The sequence below is a fragment of the Homo sapiens genome, chromosome 11 (genome assembly GCF_000001405.40).
Source record: "Homo sapiens chromosome 11, GRCh38.p14 Primary Assembly".
NCBI lineage: Eukaryota > Metazoa > Chordata > Mammalia > Primates > Hominidae > Homo > Homo sapiens.
The window spans coordinates 120,933,273-120,958,130 of record NC_000011.10 but is presented as its reverse complement, the minus strand read 5'-3'; the positions used below and the strand labels follow the sequence as shown (position 1 = coordinate 120,958,130).

General features: G+C 47.6%; 1 protein-coding gene, 1 long non-coding RNA gene and 1 pseudogene across 17 annotated transcripts in view, besides 2 other annotated features; 2 read left to right on the top strand and 1 right to left on the bottom strand.

The window, feature by feature from the left end:
* The window catches only part of GRIK4 (glutamate ionotropic receptor kainate type subunit 4), a 477,159-nt gene that overhangs the window by 30,776 nt on the left and 421,525 nt on the right, over positions 1 to 24,858 (bottom strand). For 13 of the 16 annotated variants that reach the window (NM_014619.5, NM_001440403.1, NM_001440407.1 and 10 more), the window contains 3 exons: positions 17,671 to 17,784; positions 5,167 to 5,276; positions 1,178 to 1,351 (listed from right to left, as the gene is read on the bottom strand). In NM_014619.5, the coding sequence (NP_055434.2) occupies positions 1,178 to 1,351; positions 5,167 to 5,276; positions 17,671 to 17,784 (398 nt within the window). The remainder of the gene's footprint in view (positions 1 to 1,177; positions 1,352 to 5,166; positions 5,277 to 17,670; positions 17,785 to 24,858) is intronic. The other 3 variants (NM_001440404.1, NM_001440406.1, NM_001440405.1) reach the window with 1 other exon arrangement.
* LOC101929208 (uncharacterized) lies at positions 92 to 17,577 on the top strand. The gene is made up of 3 exons (NR_133004.1): positions 92 to 173; positions 7,091 to 7,182; positions 17,240 to 17,577. It is a non-coding gene; the product is annotated as an uncharacterized LOC101929208 (long non-coding RNA).
* Positions 2,131 to 2,631: an enhancer, noted in NCBI's record as "H3K4me1 hESC enhancer chr11:120826209-120826709 (GRCh37/hg19 assembly coordinates)". NCBI's record gives its function as "activates a minimal SCP1, AML or CMV promoter by ChIP-STARR-seq in naive H9 embryonic stem cells {active_cell/tissue: H9 hESC(naive)}" and the evidence as "EXISTENCE:reporter gene assay evidence [ECO:0000049][PMID:30033119]".
* On the top strand, positions 21,464 to 22,401 carry HMGB1P42 (high mobility group box 1 pseudogene 42; annotated as a pseudogene).
* Positions 23,717 to 24,011: an enhancer, noted in NCBI's record as "tiled region #13304; K562 Activating DNase matched - State 12:CtcfO". NCBI's record gives its function as "activates a minimal TATA promoter and a strong SV40 promoter by Sharpr-MPRA in K562 cells {active_cell/tissue: K562}" and the evidence as "EXISTENCE:reporter gene assay evidence [ECO:0000049][PMID:27701403]".

The following is a 24,858-nucleotide window of genomic DNA, read 5'->3' as shown; positions in this document are numbered from 1 at the left end:
ATCGACATCCCCCGATGCTCCTCTCCCAGGGCTTCTGCCCAGGTTCCCGGATGTTGTGGGTGGGACTTCCGTGACTCTCCTTGCTGAGATCGTCCATCCCTCTTCCTGGAGACCTGAGCTCCTGTTCTCCATGGTGATCCATTCAGTGACTTCTCCAAACTATCTGGTAACAGGCAAGCATCTCGCCCAGGTTTAAATCGTGCTACATTTGTTGTTTATCAGGGATAATGGAAACCCCAGACAGGAAGGCATGGCTATCTCAGCTGCGTTTTCACCTTCCTAACAGCCCAGTGGCTCCTCCAGTAATTCTGTCCAGACCACCCACTCTGGGCACCAGTACTCAAGGGTGGAAACATCACCTTTCCTTTTCCTTTGGCTAAACAGGCTGAGAAGGAAGGGAGAGAACCAAGGTCGTAAGTCCTGTATGCTATGACAGCCAAACCCACAGCAGATTTTTAAGAGAGGATCAAAAAGTTGTGTTCTGCAAACTTGCCTCTCTAGGCTACACACACACACACACACACACACACACACACACATTTGTTTTGTCTTTCCTTTGCCCCCATAATGGTCTAATAACAATGATCAGTCCATATGTTTATGTAGCACTTTCAAGTTTTCAAAGAGCTTTCCCACACATTGAATCATTTGCTCAACTCTGAACGACAAGAGTTGCGTTTTCCCACACCTGCTGAGGTGAACAGGCCAGCAAGCCCCCAGAGCCAGAGGCAGAGACACAAAGCCTCAGAAGGCTGGTAGAGGGGATGTGATGTAGCAGCCAGGCTGGCTTCCTCCTGCAGGGACTTCCTGCCAGCAGGCTTATACTTGCATAAATCTGCATATGCCTTCTCAAACCTCAGGTCATTTTCAGGTCAGGAAGTTACCATTGCTTTGCTGAAATTCATCAAGGCTGTTTTGTCACCTCCTCTCCCTTCCTCCCTTGGCTCCCCTCTGCATCCAGACCCCAGAGAGTAAGGGGAAGGGGACCAGATGGCACAGAGCAGGCCCCATCCATTGCCCCAAGCTTCTGAGCTGGCAGAAAGCACTCGGCTTCCTGCGTGGGTCTGCTGTAAGAGGCAGAGGCTCTGGGGCTCTAGAAGCTAGAGCCGGCTTATCAGAGGGCCCCTTTTGTGTCCCCACCCCACCTGGCCTGGTTCACCTCTGCCTGGGGCCTTACCAGACGCCACTGACACAGCGGGTGGATAAGGCGCGAGGGGCGATGGTGGAGCCTTGCTGCATGAACCCCCCGACCGGAAACCAGAGGCTGTTGCCCAGGGAGTACTGGTTCACCAGGAGGTTGCACCGGCCCTGGGCACATGGGTGTGGGCTGTACCACTCGTAGGGCGTCAACCTGTGGGAGAAAAGGAACATACACTAGTGCCACAGAGGCGGGGTGTGAAGGGACACAGGCAGGCTCTCCTGGCTGGTCTCACCTCTGAGACCGGCCTGTGGCCTTGGGCAAGCCACTTCCCTTTGCTGGACTTGGAGTTTCGCAACCAAAAAAAAAATAAAATAAAATAAGTGGGTTGAACTGGGTTGATGGTTCTCAAACTTTTTTTTAATCAAAGAGACATTTTTACCCCCAATAAATTCTGATGTGGAACTCCAAAATACAGAATAGAGGATGGCCAGGTGCGGTGGCTCATGCCTGTAATCCCAGCACTTTGGGAGGCCGAGGCGGGTGGATTGCTTGAGTCCAGGGATTCGAGACCAGCCTGGGCAACACAGCGAAAACCCGTCTCTACTAAAAAATACAAAAAAATTAGCCAGGTATGGTGGTGTGTGCCTGTAATCCTAGCTACTCAAGAGGATGAGGTGGGAGAATCACTTGAGTCCGGGAGGTAAAGGCTGCAGTGAGCCAAGATCCCACCACTGTACTCCAGCCTGGACAAACAGAGTGAGACCCTGTCTCAAAAAAAAAAAAAAAGATTAAGTGGAGCCCCTGAGGCTAGGAGTGTCAAGAGGTGGACAGCCTGGGAAGCCGCTTGTTCTGTCACTGCCAGTGACAGGGTGATGAGAGAGATATTAGTGTCCCTTAGAACCACGGTTTGAAGACCCTCAGCCTAGAGCAGTGGCCCTCCAGCCTTAGCCTACCTCAGAACCACCAAGCCGGTGTGCTGACACAGATGGCTGGGCCCAGCCTCAATGCTTCTGCACTGGTAAGTCTGGGGTGAGGCCTAAGAATTCCCAAGTTTCCAGATGATGCTGGTGCCACCGGGCCAGTGTCCATACTGAGAGCCACTGGCCTCGATGGTGTCTAAAGCCAGGCTCTCCCTGTCTGTGTTTCAGACCTCCCCAGAGCCTTTCAAAAAAAAAAAAAGAATGCTGCTGCTTGAGTTCCACTCCCAAAGATTCTGGTTTCATTGGCTCAGGTGGGGCCTGGACATCAGTGTTTGTTTAAAGCTCCCCAGTGAGTGTAATGCACGCATGGGGCTGAGAAGGGCTGCTCTAAGCTCTGTGCCTTGGGGTGAGGTGGGGACACTCCCCTGCTTTCCCTCTCAGCCTCACCACTGGCGTCTCTCTGAATGGCCCCTCTGATGCCCAGAATGCCTGCTCTTCCCCTGCCCGCCAGGGAGATGCTTGCAGCCCCGGCCCATCTTGTACGCAAAGCCTTCCAGCTCTGACGAGAGAAACTGTATGCACAGGTGTGCACCCCCAGGAGGGCGGGGTGCTGTGTGCTCGGTGTTATCTTCACACTGCTCTTTCCCGTCCTGCACTCGGCCTGATGTGCACTTAGTGTTCCCACTGTCGCTGCCTCCCGTTTCCATCCGCGCCTCTCCTTCCTGAGTACAACACAAACGTCTCAGCATTGGTCCTTTGACCTGTGAGATGTGCTCTGTCCCTCTGTGTGGGTCCCGAGGAGCTGGCTGGCACTCTGGTGCCCCACTTTGTTGGCTCCCAAGCCTACGGACCATTGGTGGGATCTGCAGAACTTCAAAGATACAGATTCTCAGGCCCTTCCCCTAGAGATTCTGAGCTCATGGGACCTGGGAATTCAAATGTCTAAAAGCTCCCTACAGGACTCTGAAGATCAGCTCTCTTGGGAATGGCTACCTAAGAGCTGTTGTTTTCAGACATTTTTTTTTCCCTGTAAAATCTTACCCGAAGTACAATATATAAGAAATAAAAGTAGAGCTGGTCTGGATGAGGAGGAGTTGGGGACCCAGGGCTCTGGCTGCCCAGCCTCTTGTCATTCCACCCCCAAAGGCTCTGGTTGCTCCCAGGAGCCTTTGCAGTCCATAGAACCATGTTTGAAAATCACTACCTTAAGACAGAATACCCTAGACTCCAGTATTGTTTGTGTGTGTGTGTGTGTGTGTGTGTGTGTGTGTGTGTGTGTGTGTGTGTAGTGAGAGAGAGAGGCCGTATGGTTAGCCCTTTAGCACATTTTCTGTTAACCTTTCTGTGATGCTAGATGCTGGAGGGGGTGTGTTTGGATGTGGAGGGGAGGGAGGAGGGGCAGCGTAACACCCCAGGGCTGGTTGAAAGCTCTAGGCTGCTGTGGGTATGCTGAAGCAGGCTTGTATGTATCTGCTCTCCAAACCCCAAGACTTTTCAGGGCCCTTGAGGTGACCTGAGTGTTGTGGCATGCCACACGCAAGGGCTCACATCCAAGGGGCAAGTGTGAATTACAGAGCAGTGGCACCAGGCTCACGGAGACAGCCTCCTAACATGGCAGCAGTGTGGCAAAGTGGAGAGGGGAGGTGTCAGACAGCGTGCTAGCTCCCCATCTCGCAGGCCGTCACTGACAGCAGATACTCAACAGTGGCCATGCCTACAGGCCCGAGAGGGGTTGGTGGTGCCCAAGCAGCAAACTCTGCCACGTTTGAAAATGACCAGGTTGTCAGCAAGGCCTGTCTTTTTTTGGCTGCATCTTGTGGGCCCCAAAGACCTTCCTGATCTTGGGGACCTTGGTCTCCACTAGAAGAGGTATGTGCAGACAGGTTGATGCAACCCTTCTCTGGCAGTCTGGGAAGTGCCCTCAGGGGTTAGGTAGCCCGTGGTTCCCTAGGGCTTACCATGCGGCAGCTCCATCCCCAAGTGCCCCCATCAATCCAGTGAATGAACGTGCCCTAGGGGAAGACCCCACCCACCCCACAGAGATGGGATGTGCACTCTAACACTGTCTGCCCTCCCACTGTGGCCTAGAGGCAAAGGTAACAACTGAAGAGACACCTGCAAACCAGAGCCACGGACAGATTCCAGAAGCTCCTCCTGAGTAGTTCTCTGCTCCCACATAACAGCCCTTTGTGAGCCTCCACTGCAGTAAGTGGAGGGTTAGCAGCACTAGGGACCTGAGTGAGTGGCCTGGGAGCCACCAGGGCTCATCCCACTTCTGGAGGGTTAAGCTGGCTCTCCTGCAGCTCAGGCTGGCCCAACAGCCTTGGCCTGGAGCGAAACTACCTTTGCTGTGCACAGTCTTGGGAGGCCACAGCCTCAGGCTGCTCCTCAGGTTTTTCCAAAGGGCCAGGGCAGCCCCTGGTTTCCTGGGGATAGGGCAGGGCTTATTCTCCCCCCTCCCTGGTCTGGCCCGTGCGTCTCAACTCAGCACTTCTTGAAAACGCCTCTCTCCATCCCGTCTCCTTGCCACCCGCCAGCAGCCTCCATGGTTCCCATTCGACAAGGCAGCTGTGTTTTCAGAGGCAGGCCCAGGCTGTCTGCAGAGAAAGCCTTCTCCCTGGCCTGCTCCACTGCAGCCCCCAGTGCCCCCAGTCCAGATTTGCAGGCTCTGTTCCTTGTCATTCGGCACTTTGTGGCAGATCCTTTGTGGCAATGACTGATGCCAGGGCAGCCAAATGCACAGTGCTTAATGAGAGTCATCTTCCTGCCAACCCCACCCCTCCTCTCTTCCCAGGGCTCCTACACAAGCAAGGGGCTTAGGTGGGGGTCTGGGGAGAAGTGGGAGGGGACAGGAGGCAGAGGTGCAGAAGCCAAGCCACCTGTCTGCGTCGTGCACAGTGGGGAATGTTTGGATGGGCAGCATGAGGTCGACAGCTGGGCAGAGAGCATTTCAGGCCCCCAGTCCTTCTCCTGTCCTTCTAGTTTGGCACCAAGATCTTCCCAACTCCTCCTCCCCCTCTCCTCCTCCCCACCCCCTCCCCATGCAGTTCCCAGAGGTGGACACGAGGTGGCGGTGTAAGGACAGGGAAGGGAAGAGGAGAGTACCGAGCCACCAGGAAGAGGACACAGCTGACGGCCAGATAGGCTAGAAGCATGAAGAGCCAGACGCCCGGAGAAAATGGGTCCAGGAAGGAGAAATAGCCGGGTTTGCGTCCCTGGAAATGGAGAGAAAAACAAGATTCACCGCACATATTCAGTCAACATGACCTTGGGGCAGGCAGGGCGGGGTAGAGGAGGTAGTGAGTGTGGGTCTGGCCCCAGTTCCCATTTCTGTGGGTTCTGGGTGATTGGTTTAAATGACACTGGGAATGAGGGTGTTGCCGGGCTGCGCAAATGACACGACCCAGCCCTGACCTCAGCAGGTGACACAGAACAGCAGCAGGGGCCATGCCACTCCCTGGGGTGAGGCAGGCTTTGTGCTGGCAAAGAGGAACAACCCTCAGTGCCCCGAAGTACCACCCTGTGTCCTCCATCGGGGGTGGAGGATGGACTCAGGAAGCACCTTTGAGCTGCTGCTGTCTGCATTGCTGAATTCGACCACAGCATCCCTCTTAGACACTCACATCTTTTTCACCAGGATGCTAATACAACCGGAGTCTCTGGGTTTTGTTTGCAGGGTGATCTCACACAGTGAGACCTTCCCCCGTCAACCTCAAAACAGTCCTGGGAGGCACAAATTATTATTCTCATTTTACAAGTGAAGAAGCCAAAGCCGAGGGCAGTCAGAGATGTGCCCGAGGTTCCACAGTGCGTAAATGGAAGAGCCGGGACCCAAAAAAGCCCATGTTTCCTGACTCAAAGCCCAGGGCTCACTCCACTGCACCGTGGGAAAACACGTTGCAAGGCCAGGGATGAGTCTGGCCAGAGTCCTGTGAGCCAGACAATGGAGCCAGGAATGGAATCCTGGGCACCAAGCTCCCCGCCATTCTTCACGGGAAAACAAAATGGAATGAGAAGGATGGAGTTAAGTCATCTGCTCCAAGTCTTTAGCCGTGTGGTCTCAGGCAAGTTCCCACCCCTTTCTGGCCTCAGTTGGAGTGGGAATAGATCCGAGGTGACACACCAGTGGCTTATGGATGCATACGGCCCACAGAGTTGAATTGTTTATCCTGCAGCATCTACCTAGTTTGTATTAGTTGCCAGCGTTAAATAATTAGGTAACTTCACATACAAATCTAGATTTCTGGCTTTTTAAAAAATGGGGTGATCCAACACCACTGAGTCCAACTTCCCAACTGGCTGAAGCTGAGTGTGGGCTGCCCACTGGAGACAGGGCATATTCTCTGCAGCTCCATGCTGCTACCCTGTCTTGTCCCAGGCTGGTTTCTTTCATTTACTATAAAACCACTGGACTAGATGCACCCTAAGGACTATTGTAAATGGAAAACGCTATGATTCTATGATGCCAGAAATCCAGGAAGTCCATGGATAGGACTGAAAATCAGTACTAAGCTCAGGGTTCTATGAACAGGTAAGCGTTTAAGCTCAAAATTGTATCAGTCATGGCGCAACCTACTGTCACTATCAAGGCATGTCATTTTTACACTGGGTTTCCCAGAAACACAAAAGGGAACTCCCTTTGCCAATACCGAGCTAAACTCAACCAGCCTTCTGAGCTTTCATTATCCAGGGGAAGCTAGAAGAAGCTGAGAAACTCCAAGTAGCAATAGCTATTTCCACGGCTGCATCTGAGGCAGGTGGGAGGAGACAGTTCTGCACGCTCCTGTTGTATTTGCATAGCCCCCATCATGGGTGATTTTCCGCTCCTCTTCTGGATGCTTTTCCCTTCCTTCTTAGGGAGCCGGTGGGCCTGCGGTGCAGTTTTACTTTCCTCTTTGGAGGGTACACGGAGAGGATGGAAATACTCATCCTCTGCCAAAAAGGGCAGCTGTTCTTGGGCACTGTGGCCTTTCAGCAGCATGACAGTGACCTCTCACGTGATCTATCTGAAACTGTTTTTCTTTCACAGTATTGGCTCAGACCACGGAACTGCCCTTTGATACCAATTGCAAGTTCTCTGACCCACTGTGGATCCATGCTCAGTCTGCATACAACACTCAGGTATTACTGGAAAAATGAAAAATCTGGGGGACAAAACCCAGTAACTTAGGGAAGGGAACAGGAGAAGAATGAGGAAATCATTTGAGCTTGGCTCATCCCGTCATTACATAAATCCTCTAACAGAAGGCAAAGGACTCCAGAGCAGCAGAATCCAAGTCCCCAGTTAATCATTCCTGTGTCCATCATGGCTTGACTGTGTTTCCTTCATCATCCTAAGAGCCAGAGGCAGACACAGGAAGACACAGAGAGGGTAGCATCCATATACAGAGTCCAGAAGCAGTAAAGGAGCCGATCATGCCTATACTCCTACTGCAATAGAAATCACTAGTGTGGTCCACTCCTGGGGTCTTTTTTGACCCCCAAGTTTCTCTGAGTAAATGTGCATGAATTCCACATGCCCTGTCACTTATGACTATTTCAATCTGTCTCTCAACTGAAAAATCTATTACTGTTGCTTTCTGAATCTGAAAACCCATTAGATGCTCAATGTCAGAAATCTATACCTGATTATATCACAAGTGAAATTGAGGAAAATGACAGCACTATTTAAAGCTGCCATATTTGGTTATGGGTGATAAGGAATGATGCACAGCTGTGGGAAAAATTCCTAGAGACCAAAGTTATAAAACAGAGAACATCACACGAACAAAAACCATGACATAAACAAAGCTCCCCCAGAAACATATCAGTCACGTTGGCAAGGCAACATCTGATTCTACTTGTGATTGACTGACGCCAACCAGAAGAGCAAGGAATGGGCAGTCATTTGAGATTTGGGTCTGGGCTTATACAGCCTTGGCTTAGGCTAAATCCATGCTGTCTCTATGATGCCAAAGAGAAGTATGTGTCTTGCAAGATTCTGAATGCCTACCATTTTTTTCTATGTGGATGGTTTAGATCACTTTCTTCCCAAAAGACATGTGAGTTACTGGCGCTTGGGGCAAATCAGGTGTCATATGCCATAGGCATTTCTTCCAAATAATTGATTTTCCTTAGCCCAAAGGAGGTATGACAGTGATGCCTTTCTTTTGAAGAACTAAAAATGCTTCACTATGTTCTCTTGATTTCAATACCCAATTTTCCATACTGACAGATGGAAGAACTGGGACCCAGGGAGGTTAAGTGCCTCGCTCAAATCATTGGCAATGGCTTCAATTTCTCTGGTGCTCATTCATCAAGCTGTGCCATAGGCATGCCACACTCTCCTTCATTCAAATGGCAGCTGTACTGCATCTTCCTCTCCTTTTCATCTTCGCATCTTTATTTACTCCAATAAATTCCCTAATTAATCCCACGCCTTCTCCCCAATGCCAGCAAACTCTCAACCTACACACCCCCTTAGAGTACTCTTAAACATTATTTATTTATACCCATCACCATTTATTGTGACTCTGCTGTATTTATAGGCATTTGTATTGATTTATACACGTCTCTGTTGACTGTGAGTTGGGCCAGTTCCTTCTGGTGAATACAATCACTTTGGAAGTAGATAGGTGGTTATATATAGTCTATGCCCCAAATGTTGAAGACAGGTCAAGCTCTGCGGATGAAATTGAAAATTAGACAACAGCAAAATTAGAATTAGCTCCCTTGACATTTGGACTGTGCATCAGACTGACCATCAATCAGCATCCCTGATGCTCTTAGACGGAGGGAGAGATACAAAGGGCTGGTCATCAACTGACCACAATCCTGGTGTGTGTAGGTCCTTTGCATGACAGTAGTGGGGCTGTCCATGGAGCTATGAAGTGGCATTAAACCCCCCTTTCATGCCCAAAGTTCCTCTTATCCTTAAAAACAATCTGTTGACTCATTGATACTTCACTCTATATATACTGGAAGAAATGACATTCTCGGAAGAATGCAATTGCTTTCCCAGAGTCTGAAGCCAGATTCATGGGGACACCGGAGCCAGGCAGTCAGGACAGGTAGTGAATAAAACCCAGACTCTGCAGCCAGACTGCCCAAGATTGAATTCTGGCCCCACCATTTACAAGACATGCAATCCTGGGTAAGTTGGGTAACCTCTAGGTCTCTGTTTCCTCCTGTATAACATGGAAGGAATAATAAAACCTACCTCGTGGGGTTGTTTTGGAAACTCAGTGAGTTAACTCATAGAGCTGTATGTATGTTCACTCTCCTTCTGTCTAATGGTAGCCGTGAGTGAAGGGGGAGTGGGGAGATGGTGTGTTACAAAGGCGGGAACTTCCTTTTATACTGATGCCTTCCTCAATGGACAAGAAATACTATACTTTCTCTCTTACAGTGACACATGTTAAAGATGCTTTGGGGAAGAATGCTATCTGGCTACAGCCACTTTTCAGAACTCCTGGAGCTTCTATGGCTGTAATATATGCATCATGAGAGTTCCTCCAGGGCTCTCCAGAGAAGCACTTAGGGCAATACCAGGCTTTCTTCTGGAAGGAAGACTCTTAAAAGCCAGTGATTCCAACCTTTAGAACTCAATCCCACCTCAGCCTACCCAAAGACGTCATTGACAGAGTGGACCAGACACGTTGCAGGTTCTCTTGGATCTGTGTTAGGGCTCTGTAGCTTAGTCACCATTTCCCTACACAAATGCATGATACGAGCTCTCTTCTTTCCTGAAACTCTATCCCCTCCCAGCATAGCCAAGGACAAAGGGTCCTTCATATGCATTTCTACAGTCTTTAGAACTAAATGGCAATTTATAGAAAGGTTGCTTGTGATATAGTCAACTCCCAGCAGTGCCCAATGGTCAATCACACACTGTCCAGGGCTGAAGAGGTAAGAGAACGCAGTGTCTCCAAGACTCCTTCTGGGAGAGGCAGGAGGAGGTGATTTCTTCCTGTCCCTCAGCAGGATCCCATGGATGGCTTCCCTCAGTGTGTCTGCAATGGATTGTCTGCTGATATTTTGGTTTAGCATGCACTTTCCACCTCTGACTCCAAGAGGAAAAAAGGAAGCAAGTAATTAATTCCTATCCACGTAAAGCACCCAGATGGGTCTGTTGCCCATAGAACTCATATGCTAGTGTATCTATTTTCACTTACTGGCTGAAAATCTGGTGTGAGGAGACCTACATTCTAATCCTGGCATTGACCTGGACTTGCTGAGTGGTGGTGCTAGGCAAGTCACTCAACTTCTCTGGGTGCCATTGTCTTCCCCCATAGAAAGGAGCACCATGAATGGAGCACCTTAATCCACATGAAGAGGGGCCGTGAGAATTACTAAAATAATGTTAACACACCTTGAGCTTCTTCAGAGAGAGGCACTCAATAAATAACCAATATTATTATACATTCAGGGATCCATATTTCCATTATATGGGCTATCATGTTACTTAGCTTTAAGGAACAGAACTCTATTCATTTTCCATTTTCTTAGAACAGAGTATTAAGCAGTATTAGAAATGATTCACTGGTTTACTTAGCATTGTTCTCCATTTTCCTAGACAGTCTTTCTGAAATGAAACAGACCTTCTTGAAAAGCGGGTAATATATCCAGCAATGTCGTGCATTAATTTAATGTCAGCATTTATTTCTCCATCACTTTTTTTTTTTTTTTTGAGACAGAGTCTCACTCTGTTGCCCAGGCTAGAGTGCAATGTTGCAATCTCGGCTCACTACAACCTCCACCTCCCGGCTTCAAATGATTCTCCTGTCTCAGCCTCCTGAGTAGTTGGGATTACAGGCGTGTGCCACCATGCCCGGCTAATTTTTGTATTTTTAGTAGAGATGGCGTTTCACCATGTTGGTCAGGCTGGTCTCGAACACTTGACCTCATAATCCGCCTGCCTCGGCCTCCCAAAATGCTGGGATTACAGGCATGAGCCACCGTGCCCAGCCTATTTCTCCCTTACTTTTTAAACACTGTCTGATTTTTCTTTTTCTTGAGAAAGAAGACTCTAGCTAAGAGTTAAGAAGAGAAAAAGAAGAGAGTATAAAACTTTCCCATTTGTTAACCAAAGGTGGAACAAGTTGGTATGGAGGGAAAATGGTAAGCTCACATTTTCCAGGGAGTCTCGGGTGTTCTAGCTGGCTTGGGACCTTCTCTGGGATCAGAGATAGTATCCTCAGATGGGAAAGGATCTTGAAAGATCATCTAAAGAATAGCGTTGACACTGAAAGAAATACACCTATGATACTGTAAAGACAGGTAGTTGGACATGTATGGAGATTTGGAGACCAAAAACCTGGTTTCAATGCCCCCTGCAACATTGTGTTGCCTTTCCTCTTTCCTCTGCACTAACTGGGCTCACAGAGTTTCAGAATTTTGTCCTGTAAAATGAGAATCATACTACCTGCTTCCGGGCACTGTTCCGTTAAACCAGAGACTGTATATGGAAGTGCTTTATAAATTAGGAGACGTGAGTCAACAAACCACCATCTTACACATATACCCAATCTCCTTGAAGATGTCAATACTGAGTTTTTATTTTAAATTATTTAATTTTTTAAGAGATGGGGTGTTGCTCTGTTGCCTAAGCTGCAGTGCAGTCATAGCTCACTACAGCCTCGAACCCTGGTGATACTCCTGCCTCAGCCTCCAAAGTGGCTGGGATTACAGGCATGCGCCACTGCACCCAGCAACAACGAACTGTTTAGATGAAATTTATTCATGTGGGGGTTCTATGGGCCAAACACTTAATCCCAGTTTGGCTTCTGGCGCAGTCTGATGATGCCTTGCTATAATAGTCGGGGTGTGCTTGAGGAATACAAACTCACTTTAATATTAATCTGAGCAAAACATCATTAGGTAAATTGCTGCTGCAGAAAAAAAGAGACAGAAAACTACATGATATACTCTAACGTCAAATAGAAATGGTTTTGGTTTTTCATGTTCTTTTCCCCTCCATTCACACAGATATTTGAGAGCTCAAAGTATGCATCAATACCATAAAACCCTTGACTGCAGAATGTCCTTGGAATTATACTGCTATACCAAATACTAAACTTATCATTACAAGGAGATGAGCTGATGTGCCAGGGAAACCAAGAGTCTTGAACTTCAGATGTTCTGCCACTTGGCTCCCATCCTTGAAGTATCAGGGGACAACAAAGGCTAAAGGCTGGACCATCTATATATAGCCTAGAAGCCCATCTGGCCCTAGCCACGGATTCTGATACTTTCTCAGGTGGATGCTATGTTGTGTGTGGAATATGCAGGCATTGAGAGAGAGAGAGAGCAGTGAGTTCAGGAGGCAGCTACAGCCAGACCTGAGCCAGAGGCTGCATCTAGGCTGCCTGAAACATCTGCATCCCACTTCTGTTTGTTCTCAAGACCTACAGGGGTAAAGGCCAGAAGGTAAAAAAGAATTTGGGTCACTTGTCCTGCTGCCTAGAATACTGGCCCTGTAAGGTTCCCTAATAGAATCTCAGGTTCCTGGGGCTCAGTACTGTCCAATCAGGAGCACAAAGGAAAGCATAGCATTCACTGCCCACAGGATCACTGGATTTATGGCCTGCCCTCCTTCCTTCCTGTCAAGTAAATACTGCATGTTTAGGATGACCACATTTTCCATACCAAAAATCGTATCATAAAAATCTATGGTCTGACAAGAGGGTACCTTTCCCTTAATATACCTCCCATCGGAGGATACAAAGGGAGAGATAGATAAACAAAGAATAATGTAATGCAACCTAAAAGTGTTGTAATAGAAGTATAGGCAGAGGGCAAGCAGCTCCATCTAGGGGAGCTGCGTGGAAGAGCAAGTGCCATTTGAGCTGGGTATTGAAAGCCAGGAAAGAGTTCGTTAGCTGGCTGAGAGGCAGGTAGATGAGCGTGAACCTAGATGAGGAGGCAGGAAGGGGCTGACCTGACAAAAGAGCAGTGAGCAGCAAGGGGCAAAGGTGCTTGCAGGCAAAGACCTGGATGCAGGAAAGTTGAACTTTTTTTTGTGAGTGATGGGCAGCTGGTGAATGATTTCAAGAAGGAGGTTGATATGATTACATTTGTCTTTTTTTTTTTTTAAACCAACACCCAGGCTGCAAATAGATTATGAAGGAACAATTAATATACATTTGTTGAGTATAATAGCTAACACTTTATTGTGTATATGTCAGGCACTGCTATGAGTGTATTACATATGTATTCTCATTTAATTTTGCACGACAACACATTTTTACAAATGAAGAAGGTGAGATGTATGTGACATGCATCTAATAACTGTAAAAGCTGGGAATAAACCCAGACAGTCTGGGTCCAGAGTCCATGGTTCTCACTCTGCTGTTTCTTAGTGAATGCTTATAATGACTGTGGCCTTTTGATGGGGATCCAGTAATGGACAAGAAATGCCTTGCCCTAAAGGAGGATACAGGCTGCAGGAATGGCAGTAGAGATTAGGAAAGCCTGAACCAAGGCACAAGTGGGGATACCCAGTATATTTGAGAACTCTTTGGGAGGTGAGATGACCAATAGAATTTGTAAGGTAAGAAAACCTAAGGATGGCTCAGGTTACTGGATGGAAATTCCATTGCCTGATATGGGGCACAGGGAAGGAGGCATAAGTGTGACTCAGAAACACACAGAATTCAGCTTGTGACACAGTTTTTGGGGTGCCTGTGAGACGTCCAGATGGAGATGTGAAGAAATGTGTCAGAATTACACTACTGGAACTCAGGGGAGCAGCCAGGGTTAGATTCACAGATTTGGGAGGGAGTGAGATTATCCAGGGAGAGTTGGTAGAATAAGAATAGAAAAGGACCATGGACATTTAAGTTGGGTGAGAAAGAAAGAGAAAGACAAAAAGAGAGAGAGAGAGAGAGAAAGAAGGGAGGGAAGGAGGGTGGGACGGGGGGGAGGAGAGAGAGAGAGAGACAGAGAGAGAGTGACTTTTAAAAAGCAGGATGGAAAAACAGTAACGAATGCCAAAGCCAGACTCCTCAGCCAGCCTGTGAGTAACAGGGAGTAGGTGGTAAAAAGAGCAAAACATTCTTATTTTGGTCCTAAGGATGCCTGAACAGAAACAGAGATTATACCCAGTGTTAGGAAGAAGGTAAATATCCCACAATCAACTGTTGATGATCTGTGTTCATGAAAATGCCTAGATAATCTTGGATCGCTGGAAAGTCACAAATTATTTCTTTAGACTTCAGAGGCATACTTGCCACTACTTATTATTTTGGAGGCTTTAGCAATAATTCTTAACTAGGCACTCTAAGTTAATTATTTTTACATTCGCACACAGGTTTGATTGCCACCAGATGCTCACTTTTTGGTAACAATAACTCATCAGTCAGGTGACCTCATAAACATAGAACTAACATAGACATTCTCGATCCTTATAGATCATAAATGTGATTAAATTACCCATATTTTTGCTCACAGATAACAATTAGAGAAAAATTGCAAAACAACGAACACCCAGTATTTAATTTCATTACCTTAACACTATGATATTAGAGATAGAGTCTCTATGTAAGTTTAGAATTAGGCTCTTGGGGTGGACTCTACCAGTTCATCCTTTAGCCACAGCAGATCTTCCTAAGGCCCTCCTCTGTTTCAGACATAACAACGTTCATCTCAGACTTATTCTAACCATATCTCCCCTGGGTTAGTCAATTTGGGATTGTTCTCCCCTCAGCTGACTTTTTGGTACTTCCTAAGCATGGTGTCTCACACACAGAATGCACTCAATAAATATTTGTTGAAAAAATGTAGAAACTGTCAGTTCTGCTTAGTGTAAGCTGTTAATCCCAGCACTCATTTCTTGCTTGGCCCCCTGTTATCAATCAGGTCTAGGCAGCCACGTGGCATCCTGGCGCTTCAGTGTGGAGGCCAGAAGAGGAGAGGAATCCTCACCAAACAGTCAGGGGGGTGTGTGTGTGTGTGTGTGTGTGTGTGTGTGTGTGTGTGTGTGTAGAGAGGGACAGAGATAGAGATATTGGGAGAGACAGGGAAAGTTATTGTAAGAAATTGGCTCACAGGATTGTGGGGGCTAATAAGTCCAAAAGGCAGGCAGCCTAGAAACTCAGGCAGGATTTCTATGTGATAGACTTAAGGCAGAATTCCTTCTTCACGAAACCTCAGGTTTTGCTCTTATGTCCTTCAACTGATTGGATGAGGCCCACCCACGTTATCAAGAGTACTCTCCTTTAGGAAGTCAATTCATTGTAGTTGTTAATCCTGTCTACAAATACCTTCACAGCAACACCTGACTAGTATCTGACCAAGCATCTAAGCAACATAACCTAGCCAAGTTGACACAGAAAAGTTGTCATCCCAGAAATGAATGCAGGGAAACTCATACAGGTTTTCAGGTGGTAGGAAACATTTAGTCAACAATCCAATTTGGGATGTCCAGAGGATTGGTGAATTGTGGTTTCTTTCTGGCCAGAGTTGGTATTCAGGACAGTGGTGCCCTAGGTGGGGAGGGCAGCCTAGCAGTAGGTGTTTCCTGGTGGCAAAAACACTTGGGGTCAGGTACCTTCTGCCATCTGGTTCCTGATGGGCCACTGAGTCACCAGGAAGGCTTTAGTTCCCTCCAGGAATCTAGACACCAAGGCCAGAGCCTAGTTGAGTGGCTACCACAAGCCACAGCAGGGTAGTTTGGACAAAGGCTGTGTGCCTCCATTTCTTTTGGATGTCCCCCGACTCCAGGGGTCAATGTGGGGGAGGGGAGCTCCAGAAATGGTGCTGGCTGGAAGACTGCCTAGTGAGTACCAACAGATGTAACGATGGCAAGACACCCTCCTGGAGTTAAGGGGCCTGGGTTCCAGGCTCAGCCCTCAACTAGCTCCAAGCATGACTTCAGTTTCCATGTCTATAAATTGGGAATTATCATACCTGCCCCCTTTCCCCCAAAGAACCATCTTGAGGACCAAATGAGAAAAAGGGTGCACAAAAGTGCCCTATGCAAGTGATTCAAAGACCACACACAGGAGGGTGGCAGGCTGCTGTCCTGGAGAAAGCACAGGCTTCAAACACATCATTCCTGGGTTTGAACCCTGTTCTTTCACTTATAAGCATGTGGCCTTGCCCATGTTTTTAAACTGATTACAACTTAGTTTCCTCATTTCTAAAATAAGAATGACACAGCTCTATTCATCTCCCAGGACTGCCATAAAAAAGTACCACAACTGGTGGCTTAAAACAACAGAAATTTATCATGTCATAGTTCTGGAGGCTGGAAGGCCACATCGAGGTATTGGTGGGGCCAGGCTCTCTCTGCAGACTCTAGGAGGATCCTTCCTTGTCTCCTCTAGCTTTCGGTGGTTGCTAGCAATACCCGGTGTCCCTTGGCTTGTAAATGCATCACTCCAATCTCTGCCTTCGAATTCCCAAGGCATTCTCCTCTATGTGTCTGTGTTCAAATTCCCTTCTTTTTATAAGGACGTCAGACATTGGATTAGAGTCCAGCCTAATCTAGCATGGCTGCACCTTCACTTGAGTACATCTGCAAAGACCCTACTTCCAAATGAGGTCACATTCACAGGTCCTAGAGGTTAGAAATTCAACATATATTTTGGTGGCGGGGGACACAATTCAACCCTTAACAACAACCCCCATCACAGGGTTGGGAGCATAGGCTGGAGCTGCAAAGGTGGACGATCTCCTTTTCTCTAGAGCTGGGATGTGGGGCCTGGCAAGGGGTCACTTCTTCAGCAGGCATGTTGGGTGATCTCTTGGTCTCTACCCTGTTGGGCAGCCTCGAGGTACAGGCTCTGTTCTGGAGCATACCATGGCAGCTGAATCATGGGCACTGAAAATGACTAGTGTATTGGGCAAATCTGTATGACGCTCTGCACTTAGAGCCAGTTCAGCTGACAAGAGGAAAGGAAGGCTCTTCTGGTCCAGCAAGATAAACTAGCAAAGTCAGCTATTTGCTGGCACTGTCATGATTATTCACTGATGGATGAGACCCAGCCAGGGTGACTCTTCCTCTGCTCTTCCCACCGGCCAGTATACTTGAAGGTCGTGTCTGTACTCTGCTGCCTATTGGTGTGTTCTCACAAACTCACTGTGACACTCACCCTGGCCTACCTAGCCAGAGGAGTCTTTCTGATGGGGGCATGGAATGCAGAAAAGGGCAGGCCAGGTATAAATGACATTAAATTATCTACCATTTATTCTCCAGGACAGATCATCGAGAGAGAAGGAATCTACATTCCCTCGCCAAATGCAACACTAGAAGTGAACACAGACTTGGAAGTTGGCAACGTGCTTGAGAAATGCTAGGGTGACTTATCTGGGCTGCAGGCAAGGGAGCAAAGTGACCCATGGGGCCAATCACCAACACAGGATCCACCAAGTATTGAATGACCATTCTTGGTCATCGCTATTCAGAGAGGCAGAAGTAATTTTTACTGGAAAGCCCACAAGCATGACTTTTCCATCCCTTCAGTTTGCAAGTTCGTGCAGATGATAGGAGAAAAAATAGCCCAGCACATTTGCATTTAAGTCTTGAAATCTAAATATTTCCATGAGTCATTCATTATTCCCGTATAACTCAGTGTTTGCATGCAAATAACTTTAATGACATAAATGCTTATAAAATAAGTCTCTTACCATATGAACGCGGTAAAGAATGCTAATTCCCAGAGTCATGAATGGCTTAGAGAAATCAATCACCTTCTCCCGTTCAGCTGTAATGGTGAGGCCTGCCACAGCCAGATCTGCTTTCTGAAAAGAACAGAGACAGCCCGTCAGTGGGGTGGCCATAGGAGAAGAGGCACAGAGACTTGCGACCAGCAACCGTCACTGCTATTGGAGATGTGATGCTGGTCTGGCTTCTTGCTTGAGGAGTGGCTCTAAGTCAACACTGCATACAGATCTGAATGATCACTCATAAAAGTACATGGATATTGAAGCTATAACTCATGTTCACTTGTCGTTAGATCCCTTTAAATACATAAATAATTTTAAAAACAGGGGGTATCACTACCAGACTGTTCAGAGACAGTCTCAAAGTGTCCTAGGGTAGGGGCTTGGGAGGAGGAAATTGGCAGATTGGGCTCCTGCATTCTCAATACTTTTTTTTTTTTTTCTGGATACAGGGTCTCCCTCTGTCGCCCAGGCTGGAGTGCAGTGGCGCCATCTCGGCTCGCCGCAACCTCTGCCTCCTGAGTTCAAGCGATTCTCCTGCCTCAGCTTCCCGAGTAGCTGGAACTACAGGCGTGGGCCACCATGCCTGGCTTATTTTTGTAATTTTAGTAGACACAGGGCTTCACCATGCTGGCCAGGCTGGTCTCAAACTCCTGACCCCGTGATCTGCCCGCCCTGGCCTCCCAAAGTGATGGGATTATAGGCATGAGCCACCGCGCCTGGCCCATTCTCAATATTGAGTAGTGTTTGTTTCGTTCAGTTGACAAAACTCCACTGACTGCTTATGGTGTGTAAGAAACTTTGCTGAAGGGGCTACAATGAAAAGTAAAAATGCTGGAACCACAGAAATCAGAAAAACCTTAATGCAACCCCATTTGTCCCACAGTGAGAAAGCAGAGACCAGAAAACTGAGCAAGTGGTCCAACATCACAAAGCTCATCCCAGCTGGCTAGGATTCAGGCCTCCTGGATCACTGGCCACTTATGTCGCTGTCCAGGTGAAACTTCAGATGTCATTAGCAGACCCGAAGAAGAGTTTCTGGTCCCCTTAATGCACAACAACCAGCATTTGTTCAATAAAGGCTTCCTTCCTTTCCCCTTGCCTCCAAACTGTACCTCAAGTGCCCACATCTGATGAGAGTTAGCCCTGAATTAAACCCTTCTGGGAAAGATGTAGACTTCCTCATACTCTTCTATGTCAGGAAGTTTTTCCTTGTATCTAATTTAAATCAATCCTGTGGAAAGCAAGTCTGTTTCCTATTAGTCTACTCTCCTACACATGGGGCAGTGGGAAAAGCCCAGAACTGGTGCTCAGTTCTAATGCATCCTCTACTCTAACAACCAACTAACCAACCTGGACTAGTCACTTCACTTCTCTAGGCTCCCTTAACCTCATCCATAAATCAAGGAGAGTGCCTGGGTCCTTCCCAGCAATCCTCTATGGTGGTTCTCAAAATGCTGTCTATGGGGCCACCTACCTCAGAATCACCTGCTGGGTCAATTAAAATGTGAATTCCTGAGTCTCATCCCAGACTTCCTGGATCAGATTTTCTGGTGGTAGGACGCAGGAATCTATATTTGTAAAAAGCTGCCCTGATGATTCTAACTTATACTGTACTAATTGTTAAGAGCCATGTTTTTATGACCTGGGCGCTGTATCTCAGACGAGCCTACAATGATTGACATTTTCTAATGCTGGTCGATCAGTTGATGCAAAAGATGAAATAAGAAAAGTGAAGTGTGGTCCAACAATCTACAAACAGGCTAATCAGTTCTGAATGACTACGTACAAACACTGCAAAGAAAGTGGGGAGACAGATGTGCTGGCCCTCATTTTACACACAAGGGAATTATGATTTGTGTACAGGAAGGATAAATCCATTGGCAAAGATCAGTTTCTTCTCCACCTCAACCCCAATCCTCCATCACCAATTCACGTTCCACCCCATAAAGCAGTCACACGATCCAGCACAGCTTAACAAACTCGGAGCCTTATATGGTGAGGTCATCCTTAAAAAGCAACTAGGGTGCAGATGAAGGGGATTTTCACTACAAAATAGAAAATGTGAATGATCCATTCTGTATTTCTCCAAGACAGTGCTGATGACTGCTAGCAAGTGAATTGACACTTGCATTCAAAGTTAGGTTTGATTAGAGGATTGTTAGTGCCTTCATTTGGGGGACTCTTTAGACAGTTGCTTGGGCCGTTCAGAGCCTCAGCCCCTCCACAACAGAGGCACTGATTTGAATTCAGCTTTTGAGCACAGGTGTCAGGTAACAGAAATGAACCAAATTGGTAGCCAACCCCTACCTGAAACTTGAGGGGAGGAAACAAGAGTTAAATGGGCTGGAATGAAGAAACTGGAGGAAAGATGGCAAGATTAGAAAAATTAAAAGTGATGAAATGGGCATGAGGTAAACGTGGCATCCATTCCTTTCTCTGGTTCTTTAAAAAAAAAATCCAAATCAATTAACCAAAGTCAACAACTCTATCCTCAAGTTTATTTTCCTCACACGCTGCTTTCCTCCCAAAGGGCAAACTTTGGATTAAAATTTGGAAATCATTTTACAAGTCGATAAAAGTTGGCCAACTGTGACATTATGCCAAAACAATTCCATATGTCCCTGTGGAGACACATCTGCAGATGGGCAGCAGCTCACTACCAGGGTTCTTCCCTGGGCACAGGGAGAATGACCACATGCCAAGGGAGAGCTTGTGCCTCACGTCTGGACAGAGCATTTCTGTCTACTCACTCACTGACACTTCCCTACAAACAGGGAACCGGCTTCATGCACACATTGCTGGCACATTCCCACCAGTCCCAGTCTTTCTTTCCTTTGTCCCCGGTCAAGAGGACGCTGGGGGAAAGGGAGGCAGGGAAGGAGACAGGAAAGGGCAGTGACAAGCTGAAAGAAGCCATGAAAGGTTTGTGGCGGTCGTTTCTTGCATTTAATATTATATTCTCAATATAGAGGAGTAATTACCTACTTTAGCTTGAAGGCACTGGGGTATCAGCAACAATCACATGGGATCAGATTATTCCAATCACATGTGCCTTCGTTATTTTACCTAGTCAAAGACATTATGGCTGGGCGCAGTGGCTCATGCCTGTAATCCCAACACTTCGGGAGGCTGAGCTGGGTGGATCACCTGAGGTCAGGAGTTCGAGATCAGCCTGGCCAACACGGTGAAACTCTGTCTCTATTAAAAATACAAAAATTAGCTGGGCATGGTGGTGCACGTCTGTAGTCCCAGCTACTCGGGAGGCTGAGACAGGGAGAATCACTTGAACCCGGGAGATGGAGGTTGCAGTGAGCTGAGATCGTGCCACCGCACTCCAGCCTGGGCAACAGAGAGAGACTCCATCTTAAAAACAAAACAAAAAAAAGACATTATGCTATAAAGCAGCCTTCAGATGAAGAGATAATGTGCCATGAAACCAAACTAGTAAGATAGGGGGCTGGGACTGTGATTCCACCCAGGAATCACTGGTGTGGGAGGCTGAGGGGCATGTACAATGACAACTCATCCAAGCCCTTCTGCTCCTCTGCCTCCTGGGGGGCAGGTGGGGGCCAGGCCAGGGAGGGGTGGGCATGCTCCCAGGCGGAAAGAGCAGGGAACAGGACATCAGAAGACCTGGATTTTGGTGACTGCTCCTGCTTTCACAGCCACTGAAGTACACTGAGCTCCATCGAGACAGCACCAGGGCAAGTGAGAACCAGATGGGAAATGGGCAGCTCTGTGCCTTGCTGAAAACAAATAGCTAAACACAGGCAAAGACGACCCTAAGAAGCTGACAGGCAAAATCTCATCAGGTGCACAGTCTGTGCAAACTTGCTGGGAGGAGCAGGAGAAGCAGCACTCAGCTGTCTCAGTCAGCTTTGCCAAGTTTTCTCAGAAGTACTCAGTGCTGGAAGGCCATGTCTGCTAAAGAGAAGGGAAAATCTGCAGACAGGGCAAAGGTGGAAAAGACCTGTTATGAAAGAGAAATGAAACCCGTATCTCTCCTAAAGGGGAGACAGAAAAAAAGTTAAAAGATCCTAATGCACCCAAGAGGCCTCCTTTGACCTTCATCTTGTTCTTTCCTGAATATTGCCCTCACATCAAAGGAGAACATCCTGGCCTGTCCATTGGTGATGTTGCAAAGGAGCTGGAAGATGTGGACTAACACGGCGGCAGATGACTAGCGGCCATATGAAAAGAGGGCTGTGAAGCTGGAGGAAAAATGCCAAAGGATATTGCTGCAAACTGAGCTAAAAGAAAGTCCGATGCAGCAGAAAAGCAAGTTATCGGGGCTGAAAAAAGCAAGGAAAAAAAAGGAAGAGGCGGAAAACAAGGAAGATGAAGAGGAGGAGGAGGAAGATGAAGAAGATGAAGACCAGGATGATGATGACGAAGTTGGTTCTAGAGCATTTTTTCTTGTATATCAAGCATTTAACACCCACCCCCCCATACACAACCCATTCCTTTTTGAAGAAAATAAGTAAAATGTAAGGCTACGTAGGATTTGTTTTTTAACTGTACAGTGTCTTTTTTTTGTATAGTTAACACACTACTGAATGTGTCTTTAGATAACCCTGTCCTGGTGGTATTTTTAATGGCCACTAACCTTGCCTGGCACAGTATGGGGTTGTAAGTTGGCACAAACATTTAAAGCAGGTTCTTGGTGCACAGAACAAATTAGTTATGTATGGGGGTGGTGGCTTATTCATCTTTAGTTGACTCCGATGAAGCTTACACATGATAACTGTCGTTCCGTTAACTGAGTACCACTCTGTAATTGCAACAACAAAAAGGTTGCAGCTGTTTGGTTGACATTCTGAGTGCTTCAAAGTAAATACAATATTTACTTATTTAGTATTTTTATTTTTTTGAGACAGAGTCTTGCTCTGTCTTGCCCAGGCTGCAATGCAGTGGTGCGATCTTGGCTCACTGCAACCTCCACCTCCCACATTCGAGTGATTCTCCTGTCTCAGCCTCCCAAGTAGCTGGGAATACAGGTGTGCACCACCACACCCGGCTAATTTTGTATTTTTAGTAGAGACGGGGTTTCACCATGTTGGCCAGGCTGGTCTCGAACTCCTGACCTCAGGTGATCCACCTGCCTTGGCCTCCCAAAGTTTTAACATTTTAAACCAAAAAGCAGCCCTGACTCTTGTCACTTGTGGGCCACAACCTCATCACGACCTTAGGCAAATTATTCCACCGTCTGGAATAGTGTCCTCAACTGTAAAATGAAAGGGTTCAAGCAGAGGCTCTCTAAGCTCCTTTCCAGCTGTCAAATCCCCTGCTTTAATGTGCCTGACTAGAAGAGACAGCGCTTACATGAGTGGTCCCCACTTTGCTTAAGTGGATGATGGCGGTCAGCAGTATTGAACGCTCTGAGGAGGAAACTGATGACCAGACTCGTCAGTGAAGAGCAGCAGCTAGCAGGGACATTTGATTTTAGGGAAAGAAATTCAGGAAGGGGCCATCTGGGGAAGGCAGGTCTAAAATCGTAACCCAGGGGGGATGGAAAACCAGAAAAAGCTGGGACCATTAGAGCCACAGGGTAGGTCTCCGGAGAAAGAAAAGGACAGGTGAAGGGAAGCAGAGAGTGCTCCACGCATCCCATGTGCCCGGCTGTGGCATGGGGCGGATGTGCGCCCCCACAGGGGTATATAAATACATTCCCTCCGAGAGAAAGACCTCTCTCCTCTCCCTATTTTTGACTGAAAGTGTTCTTTGAAGAGCTTTGTGTTCTGCCTCTGAGAGATCCCCTCTTTTATCTCCTGGATGTTTGTAGAGTTTACAAGGGGAGGGCAGGCGGGAGCCAGCCTGGAGGTGACTTCCAAAACATACTCTCTTTGGCCTCCTGGAGATTAATAGGGGCCGTGCAGCTGCCACCATTTCTGTCAAAGCCTGAAGGCTTGGCGTGGCCACTGCTCTTCTCCTGGGACATGAGCCTGGCTGGGAGGAAGATGAGCCTTCACAATAAGGCTGTGGTCTGCGTCTGCCTGGGCCCCCTGCTCCCACTCCGGGCTTCCTGAGAATGGCATGAGGAGTGGTCTAACGGCAATACCAGATCTGGGAGCATCCGAAGACAGCAAAGCCTTCTCATCTCCCTCCCTTCTTTTTCAGACAGCTGCTGCCCCCTTTCGGGCAAAATTCCCTCCCTCCCACTCAGCAGTGCCCTAGCACCATGACGCTGACCTTTTTTTTTTTTTTTTTTTTTTTTTTTGAGACGGAGTCTCGCTCTGTCACCCAGCCTGGAGTGCAGTGGCGTGATCTCGGCTCACTGCAACCTCCGCCTCCCGGGTTCACGCCATTCTCCTGCCTCAGCCTCCTGAGTAGCTGGGACTACAGGCGCCCGCCACCATGCCCGACTAATTTTTTTATATTTTTAGTAGAGATGGGGTTTCACTGTGTTAGCCAGGATGGTCTCGATCTCCTGACCTCGTGATCCACCCGCCTTGGCCTCCCAAAGTGCTGGGATTACAGGTGTGAGCCACCGCGCCTGGCTATGACCTCTTGCAGCCTCAGGCCTGCCTCCTCCACCTGGCCTGGCTGCCCTCCCTTACATACAGCCATGCTAATGGGAGGATGGGACGGGTCAGGAGAACTGCCAGTGCCTCTGCTCCTTGCCGTCCAAATGGCCATGTGCAATTTACTTCCCTTCTCTGGGACTCATTTTTCTCCACTGTAAAATGGGGCAATACCAGCCTATCAATATTATGTGAGAGTCAAAAGAGATGATGGTTGTAGAAGAGCCTTATAAATCATAACACTGTAGAGCGCTGCCATATCAATAAGGGGCTATTAAGGCAGTAGAGGGGGTAACTGAACTTAGTTTTCAGTGTGGCTTAGAACTACCTGGACTCGCACTCACTTACCTGTTGTATGACCTTGGACAAGTCATTTATTCAACTTTTTCTAAGCCTCAGTTTGCTTATCTGTAACGCGGGTATAATAAGAGTACCTAGCTCCTACAATTGTTGAGAAGATGAATGAGGCCATGTCTGTAAATGCTGAGCATGGGGCCTGGTTTGAAGTAAGTAGCCAGTAAGTCTTTGCTGTTGGGATGACAATGATGCTGCTGCTGAACTTGACAATGAGGATCATCTTAGCAAGGGCTTATGGAGACCTTATGATGAGTTGTGGGCATGTTTGGAG